This window comes from Homo sapiens, chromosome 22, assembly GCF_000001405.40.
Source record: "Homo sapiens chromosome 22, GRCh38.p14 Primary Assembly".
Classification (NCBI taxonomy): domain Eukaryota; kingdom Metazoa; phylum Chordata; class Mammalia; order Primates; family Hominidae; genus Homo; species Homo sapiens.
Window position 1 is genome coordinate 24,718,617 of NC_000022.11, and position 12,921 is coordinate 24,731,537.

The 12,921-nt window shown below is 40.6% G+C and overlaps 1 protein-coding gene across 4 annotated transcripts in view, besides 1 other annotated feature; it reads right to left on the reverse strand.

Moving 5' to 3' along the window:
• Positions 1–417: 417 nt before the first annotated feature.
• Positions 418–12,921, reverse strand: part of PIWIL3 (piwi like RNA-mediated gene silencing 3) — a 55,687-nt gene continuing 43,183 nt past the window's right edge. For 3 of the 4 annotated variants that reach the window (NR_045649.2, NR_045648.1, NM_001255975.1), the window contains 7 exons: positions 9,561–9,758; positions 9,334–9,437; positions 6,829–6,899; positions 6,271–6,421; positions 4,514–4,639; positions 1,132–1,279; positions 418–972 (listed from right to left, as the gene is read on the reverse strand). Coding sequence is in view for 2 of the 4 variants with exons in the window: in NM_001255975.1 (NP_001242904.1) it covers positions 856–972; positions 1,132–1,279; positions 4,514–4,639; positions 6,271–6,421; positions 6,829–6,899; positions 9,334–9,437; positions 9,561–9,758 (915 nt within the window). In the remaining 2 variants the exon portion in view is untranslated. Of the gene's footprint in view, positions 973–1,131; positions 1,280–4,513; positions 4,640–6,270; positions 6,422–6,828; positions 6,900–9,333; positions 9,438–9,560; positions 9,786–12,921 lie in introns of all 4 variants that reach the window. The other variant, NM_001008496.3, reaches the window with a different exon arrangement.
• Positions 12,149–12,723: an enhancer, noted in NCBI's record as "NANOG-H3K27ac hESC enhancer chr22:25126732-25127306 (GRCh37/hg19 assembly coordinates)". NCBI's record gives its function as "activates a minimal SCP1, AML or CMV promoter by ChIP-STARR-seq in primed H9 embryonic stem cells {active_cell/tissue: H9 hESC(primed)}" and the evidence as "EXISTENCE:reporter gene assay evidence [ECO:0000049][PMID:30033119]".

Here is a 12,921-nt window from a genome sequence, read left to right on the forward strand (position 1 = left end):
TTGTTTTGTTTTGTTTTTGAGACAGAGTCTCACTCTGTTGCCCAGGCTGGAGTGCTGTGGCATGATCTCAGCTTGCTGCAACCTCTGCCTCCTGGGTTCAAGCGATTCTTCTGCCTCAGCCTCCCGAGTAGCTGGGATTACAGGCACCCGCCACCACACCTGGCTAATTTTTGTATTTTTAGTAGAGACGGGGTTTCCCCATATTGGCCAGGCTAGTCTGAAGCTCATGACCTCAGGTGATCCGCTCACCTCAGGCTTCTAAAAGTGCTGGGATTACAGGCGTAATCCAGCTTTCCTTATGACCTTTCCACCAAAAATCCATCCAAATTCCCACCCCAGCACAAGGAATAACACAATGCTTCCTATATAGCTCATCAGTAATAGGTTAATTCTAAATACAAATATTAAACAGAAATTCAGTGTTGTTACTTTTATGTCTTCCTTTCCTGTCCTTTAACAAAAAAAAGTTTCAAAAATAAAGTAAACGTAGTTTTCCAAGTAGAGTTTACTTGTTCACAGATGTACTCTCTCTGTGACGAATGCCCCATCTTTTCAATTCTTAGAGTGGCCCTGCTTGGGGTGGAAAATGTTCAGTCACGTTCAGCTGTGAGATCTCTGTCACATATTTGAAAGGGAAACTGCAAGCCAAACCCTGTCAGTTCTCCTCTCTGGAAAAATCAGTCTGTGGTAGTATTGAGAGTAGAACATATCACTCTGAATCTCTCCTGTGTCCAATCAAAAACGATGAGAATTTAATGCTATGGACCTAGGAAAATATTTCAGACATCCTGCTTCAAAAGGAAGACAGGCTTACACGTTGTGGTTTCATTAGCACATCAGGTCTTCTTCTGCAGGTCAAAGGTAAAAGAGACGAGTTGACAAGGAACGATTCGGTTCCTGGTGAATGGACTGCCCCACGAGGTAAGCCAGCTTGTGGGCATAGTGGCAAGGCGCTGGAACTCGGATGATGCCCTTTAGTAGGAAAAGAAAATACACAACTAAATTTTTTTCACTTTACATCTACTTTCCCTAAATTTAAATTCATAGAAGCCAGTTCAGAGGTCCAACATTGTTCAATGTTGAATAGTACATTTAAAAAATCTGAAGAAAAAAGTAACAAAAAGTACTTACTGGCAAATTATAATACATGTGGCATAGACAATATGTTAAACGCTGTACTGTATCTGGGCTCAAGCCAATCGTGTCATAGATGACGTTATAATGAGTGGGGGTAACAGTCCCATCTTGCACAGACTGACTCACAATAAAAAAGTCATACCTGGAAATATAGGACATGTGGGTATCAGCTCATTTTAGAAAGAGGGTATATAGTAAACTTAATGTCTGAAATGAAAACATTTAGTATAATTGCTTACAAAAATCTATTCTATAGATTAAGTTTCCTTTACATTTAGAAACCTAACTGATAAACAACGATTTGAGAAATCAAGTCTATAGAAGGCAATTAAATCACTGACACAGTAACTCTCGTGGGATTTTGCCTTCAAGTACATGCACTGAAACCTAGAGGAAGAAACAAGATTGGCACATTTGATCTGATATGGCCATAGATAATTCTATTCGGAGATTCTTGGATGAAGGCCTGCTGCCTCGCTGAGAATCACTGGACTATATTTAAACTGTTTTTTTTTTTTTTTTTTTTTTTTTTTTTTTAGACGGAGTCTGGCTCTGTCGCCCAGGCTGGAGTGCAGTGGCGCAATCTCAGCTCACTGCAAGCTCTGCCTCCTGGGTTCACGCCGTTCTCCTGCCTCAGCCTCCCGAGTAGCTGGGACTACAGGCGCCCACCACCACACCCGGCTAATTTTTTATATTTTTAGTAGAGATGGGGTTTCACCGTGTTAGCCAGGATGGTCTCAATCTCCTGACCTCATGATCTGCCTGCCTCGGCCTCCCAAAGTGCTGGGATTACAGGCATGAGCCACTGCGCCTGGCCTTAAACTTCTTAAACAATACAACCGGTAAGATTGATCTATGTGTTATAAATATTGAATTTATTTTTATGTGTACAATCTTATGTTGTACTTTATGTTTATGATACTTTTTATTTGCTCCATCCTTTAATCCTTTCCTGCCTTATGTTAGATTGATCAAATGTTTCTGCCTTTCCTTCATTTTACTTCATTTCTCCTCAACTCTTGGTATGAATATCATTAATTCCACTGTGGTTTCAAGTAAGTCTTTCATTTGTATAATTGACAAGTATAGAGCAGCAGCAGCTTTATCATTTTCCCTGGTAACTAAAGAATCTTAGTGTATACTTTGACCTCATAATTCTTTTTCTATGTAAGTGCTATATCCAGTATTTTAGGTCTTGTTTTAATATACCCTATAAATTGTCATGTATGAAATCAAGGCTTTTTTATACTCCATCGTAACTGATCAGCATTGCTTCTTGCATTTCATTCTCTCTTAACTGTTTGATTTCCTTCTTCCTGAAATACAGTCTTTTTGGGTAGCTCTCTCAGTGAGTATCTGGTGGATCTGTTAATGTATATACTGTATAGGCACTAACTGAGCATGTTTGTATTTCACTGTCACCCTTGATAAGTTAGCCGGGTATCAAATTCTAGCTTGATGGTTATTTTTAAGCATTTTAAAGATATTTCATAGTATTCTGATTTCTACTCTTGCTGAATGTGATTTTTATTGTTTGTAAATATATTATTCCTGTGGTTGCTTTTAAATTTTCTTATGCCTGCTGAAGTTTCACTATAACATTTCTAAGTGTGAACTTTTATTGATTTTTGCTCAAATCTTGTTATTCTTCAGTCTTAGGATTCAGAATCTCAGACTTTCTCTTTGAATATTGCTCCACCCCACCACACCCCCATCATATCTTATCTACTACTGAAACTTCTATTTGGTATAGAGCAAATCTTATTTTGCCTTACATTTTTCTAAACATTTTTTCATATCTTCCATATCTTTATGGCTCCCCACTGCATTATGGGAATTTTGTGAACATATGTTCCAGTTAACAATTTGTTTTCTTTTATGTCTAACCTTCTCTTTAACCCTTCCACTGATTTTTCTTCGTTTTGACTATATTCATGTTTGTTAGATATTCAAATACAAATTGACCTTTTCATTAGATATTCTTACGGCCTTTATTCCTTTTTATATCTTTTCTTATTTCAATACATTTTTATATAGAATGTCTCTAACCATTTCATCTTCTGGAAGTTGTATCTAATCTTAATGTCTTAAAGGCTGGCTCTAATTCATAATGACTTGCATCCTCATAACAAGAAAAAGACTTCTAAATTACTGTTTGGAATTACTTCCTTGTGTCCATGAACAACAGAGCTGACTATACGAAACTATTTTGTAGCATATTCAGTATTACTTTCTGAACACATCATTTCCTTGTTCAGGTTCTTAGGATAAGTGTCATACAAAATGTTTCACATAAAAGAAACTGGTCTCTTTTTTCACACTGCTGTTTTATTTTTGTTTTTGTTTTGAGAAGGAGTCTCACTCTGTCACCCAGGCTGGAGTGCAGTGGCACGATCTCCGCTCACTGCAAGCTCCGCCTCCCTGGTTCACACCGTTCCCCTGCCTCAGCCTCCTGCCTAGCTGGGACTACAGGTGCCCGCCACCATGCCCGGCTAATTTTTTGTATTTTTAGTGGAGACGAGGTTTCACTGTGTTAGCCAGGATGGTCTCTATCTCTGGACCTCGTGATCTGCCCGCCTTGGCCTCCCAAAGTGCTGGGATTACAGGTGTGAGCCACCGTGCCCAGCCCCACACTGCTGTTTTAAAGCAGAAAGACATTTTAAAAATTGAAACCTCTGGCTGGACATGGTGGCTCACACCTGTAATCCCAGCACTTTGGGCCACCAAGGTGGGTGGACCACTTGAGGTCAGGAGTTCGAGACCAGCCTGGCCAACACGGTGAAACCCCGTCTCTACTAAAAATACAAAAAATTAGCTGACATGGTGGTAGGCACCTGTAAGCCCAGCTACTTGGCAGGCTGAGGCAGGAGAATTGCTTGAACCTGGGAGGAAGAGGTGGCAGTGTGCCTGTGCCAAGATTGCGCCACTGCACTCCAGCCTGGGCAACAGAGCAAGACTCCATCAAATAGATAGATAGATACCTACCTACCTCTCAGGCTACTGCATAAACATTTTGATGGTCGTGATATAGTCAATATAATTTGATTTGTGATGACTCCAAATTGTCAATATAAACATCATTTGCTATCTTTTGTATTCGTAATTAGAAGGGTTTTAGGGCCACACTGAAGTTAAATCTTACGTGGTCACAGACATTTACAAAAGTTTGATGAAGAAACTTCGACAACCAGAAGACTCATCGCGATTTCTAGATTTAAATGAGGAATCTCTGCCCAATAGTAAAAAAAACAGACCAAATTAGTTCTAAAGAATCAGCAGTGCTTTAAGGTAAAGTTATTGGAATTAAGTGATTGTGCTGAACTGAAGGAAATTGAGAAAATCATAGAACCATGTGCAAAAAATACAGGTGGCTTACCATTCATTCCTAGTCAACTCTACATCAATAACTGTTCCTGGAGGTGGATTTTGAAAATTGCTTCCATGTTTAAGAAAAAATCTAGTGTTTATTCGTTTCTTCACCACAATGAAAGCTAGAGTGAAACTTAAAAAAATTAGGGTAAGTGTCACTATGTTTACTCAGTCTTACCTCAGAAGTACACAGTGTATTGAAACATCTGCTTTACATTTAGGACCCATTAAGAAGAACAGACAGCAGCCCTCCTTACACCCTAATTTTACTGTCTAAGCTCCATGTGCCCGGTTGAAGCAGTAAATGGGGAGGTATTTATTCATAGCCACCCACATCCCAGGGGAAGGGTCCCTTCCTCACAACTTTAGGATCATTCCTACAATCCCTGCTGAGCAGCGGGCTCTCAACAGGAGTTTTACAAAAGTGGAGTTTTATAGGTTTTGTAAGTCTTAGGGCTGGAGATCCCCACCAGCTGGCTCCTCCAGCCTGGAAACACACAAAAGTCTAGGATAAAAGAAGGATAAGTGTGAACTATTGGCAGACTATGTTCATGGATTTCTTCTTTTTTTGAGATGGAGTCTCACTCTGTCCCCCAGGCTGGAGTGCAGTGGTGTGATCTCGGCTCACTGCAACCTCCCTCTCCCAAGTTCAAGTGATTCTCATGGCTCAGCCTCCCAAGTAGCTGGTATTACAGGTGTGCACCACCACGCCTGGCTAATTCTTGTGTTTTTATTAGTAGAGATGGGGTTTCGCTATGTTGGCCAGGCTGGTCTCAAACTCCTGACCTCAAGTGATCTGCCTGCCTCGGCCTCCCAAAGTGCTGAGATTACAGGCGTGAGCCACCACGCCAGGCCATTCATGGATTTCTATGAGTATCTGAATTTAACAAGCCTTCCCACAGCAAGACTTGAAACAAAGTAGGAAGATTCCCTGGAACTTTGTGGTGGAAGCGGTCTGCTACTGCCAGGTCCAATTCTGCTTTGCATTCTGACTTGCGTGTGGAACGTAAAATCAAAGCAGAAGGGTCTTCCCGGCGCTCCCCCACCCATCCACAAAAGCCACTATTTATATCAAGCTCCTACTCTCATCACACATTGTATTGGTGTTTTCCCCTAAAAAACATCAGATTTTTTTTTTTCAAAGACTAAAATGTAGAGCTAAAATCTGCACAGTACGATTTTTTTTGAGACAAGGTCTCACTGTGTCACCCAGGTATGAGTGCAGTGCTCCTAGGCTCAAGTGACCTCCCCACCTCAGCTTTCTGAGTAGCTGGGACTATAGGCACACACCACCATGCTCAGCTAATTTTTTCATTTTTTTTTTTTTTTGAGACGGCGTTTCACTCTTGTTGCCCAGGCTGGAATGCAATGGCGCGATCTCGGCTCACTGCAACCTCTGCCTCCCGGGTTCAAGTGATTCTCCTGCCTCAGCCTCCCGAGTAGCTGGGATTACAGGCATGCACCACCACGCCCGGCTAATTTTTGTGTATTTTTAGTAGAGACGGGGTTTCTCCATGTTGGTCAGCCTGGTCTTGAACTCCTAACCTCAGGTGATCCACCCTCCTCGGCCTCCCAAAGTGCTGGGATTACAAGCATGAGCCACCGCACCCGGCCAATTTTTTCATTTTTTGTAGAGATTGGATCTCACTATGTTGCCCAAGCTGGTCTTGAACTCCTGGGCTCAAGGGATCTGCCCACCTTAACCTTCCAAAGTGCTGGGATTACAGGCATGAGTCACTACACATTACAATTAATACAACCTACTTGTTAGGAGAGATGGTTTTTAAGTAGGTCGACATCTTTTTCGCTTCATGGTCAAGCAATGCTTGAAGCTGACCATCTCCCACTCCATCCCGATACACAATAACAGAATGTGGCATCGATGATTCGTTTTTACACCAGACATCCAGGGCAGCTAAGAGGAAATCAGAAAAAGTAAATAAACCGTTACTTGGAACAAACTAGCCTTTGCTGCTTTTGACAAATTCTAGGTCCATCTTTCAACACTGCAGCTTTCAGGGCAATTTTACTGCTTAAGTCCTGTCTATTCTGGGGTTCCTCAACAACAGCACTATGGAAGTTTTGATCCAGAGAATCTGTGGTGGAGGTGGTGGAGGTGGGGTCAACCTATGCATGGTAGGATGTTTAGCAGCATCTTTGTCCTCTACCCACTAGACTCAATGCCAGTAGCACCTCCACCCCAGTTGTGACACCAAAAACTAAAGGTTCAGTCATTACCAAGTGTCCCCTGGAGGCAGTAAGTCCATTGGTGGAGAACTACTTGTATAGTGTCGGGTTCCCCGACCGCTACAAGACACTGACCTTTCAAGCAGATCTCCAGCTCTTTCACAAGCTCTTCTCCTGTTTTCTGGATGACACATTGAGAGTACCACCTGTTCACAGAAAAACCACCAGTTTGGAAAACAAGATTCTTAAAATCTCATTTGAGTCTGCATTAATCTATGGGCAAAAAATATTACTATCAGTAGTTAAGGACATTTTAGCATCAATTCATATCTCTACGGAGATCAAAGTATTGGTCTCTTTTGATATCTTAGGCATTTTAGAAAATTTTGAGTGCATACAAATAGTCAAGTAGAATGGAAGCATTTATTCACATTACTACAAATTAATCATGCTTTATTGTACAAGACGACTGCAGTTTCGCCTATGGGGGAATGCAATAAAAGGAAATCCCTGTGCTCCCCCTGGTTCCTGCTTTGGGACCAATGCCCTCAACAATGGCTCCTCCATGTTCCCCCTCACTGAGGAAGGGGTTTGCTTTGGAATGGTGGCAGCTGTTGACACAACTTCAACATATCTAGTAAAATGGTATGCTGTCTCAAGTTTCTATCCCCTTACCGCATTCTTATTTACTTCACAGTAACCCCATCTGACCACCTGACATTGTGATGTATCTGTCTGGCTGCCTCTTCTCACTAGGATTTAATCCATAGAGCATGACCAGGCGTCTCGGCTCCACATTTTCACTGCTAGTGTCAGCATCTGAACATGGTAGCCACTCAGAAAAATCTGTTGACAGCTCCAAGAATGATTTGGCTCATGATGGTCTCTGCTTTCTTGGGTTTGGAGTATGTAATTGTAATATTTACTTAGCTATGTGTGTTTCTCTTTGTTCAAGGTATTGGCTATTTTCTTTCTTTCTTTTTTTTTTTTTGAAACGGAGTCTCGCTCTGTCACCCAGGCTGGAGTGCAGTGGCGTGATCTTGGCTCACTGCAAGCTCCACCTCCCGGGTTCACGCCATTCTCCTACCTCAGCCTCCTAAGTAGCTGGGACTACAGGCGCCCACCACCATGCCTGGCTAATTTTTGTATTTTGTTTTAGTAGAGACGGGGTTTCACCATGTTAGCCAGTATGGTCTCGATCTCCTGACCTTGTGATCTGCCCGCCTCAGCCTCCCAAAGTGCTGGGATTACAGGCGTGAGCCGCCGCACCCGGCGGTATTGGCTATTTTCATAATTTTTTGGAAGTTTTTATTTGATTGGAAAGCAGATTTTACACTATTAAAATAAGTATTACTTGAGAAAAGCATCTGTTGAATAATTGAAAGTATAATTTTTCCCTATGATTGCAACGCTATTTTCAAACAAAAAGTAGAGCAAAACAATATTATCATATTGAAGCAGAATATGACTGGAAAAAAGTCATCATCTATGGAAATAAAGATGGATCTTCCTTTAAAGATATTCCTGAATTACACCTAGTGGGCCACAATCATTATTAAACAGAGGTAATTTGCAGGACATACATCAAGTAATGTGCAAAGAGGACTGCAAACTTAAGACTGCAAACGTATTTCAAGGTGCAGTGTGGTTTCTACTCTGAGAACAGAAAATAAAAGGGCCCTGGGAGAAAAGGAGAGCATAGGATATAGACACACATCTCCTTTTGGAAGTACATCACTTGCAGGTATAGGAAGACAAGATCCTATACTTACAGATCTCTGGCCACTAATTATGTTTCCATGTCTCTTTACCCATGCACATCTGAACTATTTCACTATGTGTTAATGATCTCCATTTAAGACATTTACTGATCAGAGCCTGTGGTAGGCAGAATTCTACCTGTTCTAATCCCTAGAGCCTGTGATTATGGCAGAATACCACCCCTGTGATTGTTATGCTATATGGCTCTGTTGACTTTATGATAAAAGTTTTCCAAATGAGTCATTTGTAATTACATGAGCTCCTTTAAAAGCAGGGATGTTTTTTCTGGCTGATGGCCAAAGAGGAGGTCAGATTCAAAACAGAACAAGGGCTCAATGTGCTATGGCTGGTTGGAAGATGGAGAGGGGTTTGCTACATGAGAGTGATCAAGACTGGCCTGCAGCTGACGGTCAACAACAACAACAACAAACAACAACAACAAAAACCAGGGACCTCTGTCATCTAACTACAAAGAAATGGATTCAGCCACAATGACATGAGCTTGGAAGGGGAGTGCTATCAAGCCTCCAGATGATAATGTGGCTTAGCTGACACCTTAATTTATGCCTTGTAAGGTCCTGAGAGCGTGAACTACCAGGTGTCTGATCAGAAGAACCGTGCAGATAAAGACAGGCATTGTCATAAACTGCCACGTCTGTGGTATTTTAGGCAGCAATGGAAAATGATGTAGAGCCAGCCAACCATGCAAAATGTTCTGGGAACATAACTTTGCCAGAAAAATCAGGAGACTACATGATTAAGAATAACTCATCTGTCAAATTCCCAACCTCTTGAGTTAACACATATTAATTAGGTTCATCTTTTCTATTTGGTCCACAGTCAGCTACTAACTAAACATGTCTACCAGAGCTTACTTACTTTGTTAATTCAGCATTGGTACTTGCAACAAATCCTGCTATTGATTTCTGTCGATTTACGATATCGTGGAAACAATCAATGCCAACGAACATTGTTCTTTGTACCTTAAGTTTGTTTTTGAAAAGGTAATGGAGTTAGAACGTGAGCAAAATTTAAGCATTAACAATTAAGAGAATCTCAAGTTTTATTAGAAGTAAGTTAAACGAAGTCAGTGAAATACAACATACGTCTGTCTCCACCTTCCAGAGGGCTCCTCCCATCTTGCAATTCATCTGCTGGGCAATCTTGGTGACGATGGTCCTTGCCTGGACTTTTTCTAAGGTCTTTTTCACCACACACTGGCTTGGAATTGGGCATTTGGTACATAGGTATCTTTTTATGCTGTCATATCTACGTTTGTCATCATTGGGCAGGATACAAATCACCTTGAAAACCAGCAAACATGACATTCCCTAAGATACAACAACAGTGATACAGGAAAGAAAAACCATCTGGAGCAGGCAACTTAGGTGGAAGACTAACAAGCTAGAGTCAATTTATTAAGAAAATATATGAGCCCAAGAGGGCGAAGGGTCTAGAGCCATGTTATTAATTATAACATAATTATATCAACTTATATGTATTTATTAGAAAATTATTACATTAGTTATTACTTAATTGGAAGGGTGAATGTGTAGAAGAAACAAATTATAATTAACATTATAAACTATAATTAACATTAAATTGTTATAAGTGTTTAAATTATAGTGTTGTAAATTATAGTTAACATTGTTATAAATTACAATTATAAATTACATCAATTGCTTAAGCCTGCAATATCATTTCCATCCTAGTTATTCAGGTTCCAGGAACTTATCACCATGTTGACAAGGATGGGTTAAAATCAGGCTGAAGGATACAATGATCAGGACAGTCACCATTTACAGGACTATCACTGAGAGAGGAGAAAGGAAAAAAACAAAAAACAAAAAACAGTTAAGGCAGGTCCACACTAAAATTCTTTTAAACAGCCTGAAAAATCAAGCTGCAGCTGCACAGATAAGGGAGCAAGGCCTAACGCAGAAATGCTTTTGTTCTTTGTGTAATCAGCAGGCTCCCAGGAAAGTTTCCTCTGCTTCTACAGACAAGTACACAGTGCGGACTCCATGGGAAGTTGCATAAGGGGGAGGCTTGGCTGAGACAGGCCTGCAGCTGCACAGATGAGGACAGTTACACAGACAGCTACACAGATAAGGGAAATTTCTTAGAAAAGCTTTTGTGTTTAACTGTAAAATGGCAACCCTCTCGGGCCCCCTCTCTGCTGCAGAGAGCTTTCCTCTTTTGCTCCAACCTTACTCTTGGTGTCCACACTCCTAAATTTTCTTGGCCATGAAACAGAGAGCTCGGATAACACCGCAGACGACGAGACGGTTTCATTGACCCTAGACAGCTTCCTCATGATGTATGTATAGGGCACTTGCCGAGTGGTTCACTTGGCAAAGTTAATACTTTCAGCAACCCACTGAAATAAGTAGTAGTATCCCCATTTTACTGCTGAGTAAGCAAACTTAGGAGTTACTGAAACTGCCTGATTTTCCAAATTTTCAAATATTGGGTTGGATTTCCAGTGGGAAACTAAGCAGTTAGGCAGACTGGTTACTAATTGGCCTGTTCCTGACTTGCTTGGGAAAATAATTATTAAGTTATTTTTAACACGATGATGTTTATAGGAAGTTTTTGGTGGACATCTTTTATCAGATTAAGGAAATTCTCTTCTTATTCTATACTGTTTTTCTTCCTTTCACATGAAAGGGTGTAGAATTTCAAATGCATTGTCTGCATTGACAAGTATTTGTCCCATAGTTCAGACTAAACAGTTAATCATTTGCATTTTTTTCTGAAGGTGACTTATTTCAAATTTTCAAATGACTGGCATATAGTAGCTTTTGGTGTTTCATATTTTATTAATCTCTGGTGAATCTATACTGATGGATTCTACTTTTTCTTTTTTTTTTTTTTTAGCTTTAGTCTTCTTCAGTCTTGACAGTATTAAATTTTGATATTTTGAAAAGGACCAGCTTTAAGTTTTTTGGTTTTTGTGCAGAGATGAGTGGTGAAATTAGAATTATGTGTACAGATTAGAAAACAGCATCACCGGCTGGGCGCAGAGGCTTACGCCTGTAATCCCAGTACTTTGGGATGCCAAAGTGGGCAGATCACAAGGTCAGGAGTTCGAGACCAGCGTGGCCAATACGGTGAAACCCCGTCTCTACTAAAAATACAAAAATTATCCAGGCATGGTGGCGGGCACGTGTAGTCCCAGGTACTTGGGAGGCTGAGGCAGGAGAATAGCTTGAACTGGGAGGCGGAGGTTGCAGTGAGCCGAGATTGCATCACTACACTCCAGCCTGGGTGACAGAGTGAGACTCAGTCTCAAAAAAAAAAAAAAAAAAAAGCATTACTTCAATATTAATTTTCTTAATTGGGTAACGTGTTTAAGTAAGAGTATGTTCCTTTGTTTTCAAAATACCCACTGATGTGTTTAGAGATTAATGAAGCAGCATATCATGCACACACACACAGTAGCTGCCATGAATTACAATCATATGCATATGGTGAAGGAGAAAAAGAATAATTATACAACTGTGGTCAAATGTTTGGGTTATCTGGATGATGGGTATACAGGGGGTATTTGTATTATTTTTCCAATTCTTCCTGTAAGTCTGAAATTACACTAAAATATAAGATTAAAAGGAATAAAGTTTCCAAATATCTAAAAAAAATGAAAGGTTTAGATCGGATTAATGCATAATTTTAAATAGAATATTTGTAAAATTTTGTGTTTAAAATGAGGACTATGTTCCCTACTGGCATTTTTACTACAAATGTCTGATTTTCAGGAATGAGTTATTAATATTAAATGCAAAGTGACTTTTTTTATTCTTGTAGCCTTAATACTAGATTTGCTTCACTTCCTGTAAAGAAAGCTGTAACCTGAATATACGTTTGTGGCAGGCCAGTTTTTACTAATGTAGGCCTCCATCACAACTCTTTCAGTACTGAGTGGTTAAGTTAAATATTAACAGCTAAAAAAGTCAGTGCCCTTATACAAAGGCTGGAATGTAACAAAAGCCCACCAAGAGTTTTGCCTAGGCCTTTCCTGGGCCTCACAGCATGACAAAATAACGAAGGAATTCTTAGCAGGACCCATTTAGGATTAAACAGGTTTTACTGGCGGTCTGAAGAAAATCCCCAGGCCTCCACAAACAAGTTTATTGGAGGTCTGAAGGAATGCCCCAAACCTCCATGATTTAGCAGCAGACAAGCTAAGGGTAATCACCGTAGCACCTAGACCCATTTAGATTAAGTAAATTTACTGAGTCTCCAGAAGAAGGTCTTCAGGACTCAGACCTTAGTTATAGATGAAAAGTTAATCACTTATGGCCGGGCATGGTGGCTCACGCCTGTTATCCCAGCACTTTGGGAGGCTGAGGCGGGCAGATCACAAGGTCAGGAGATTGAGACCATCCCGGCTAACACAGTGAAACCCTTTGTCTACTAAAATATAAAAAATTAGCCGGGCATGGTGGCGGACGCCTGTAGTCCCAG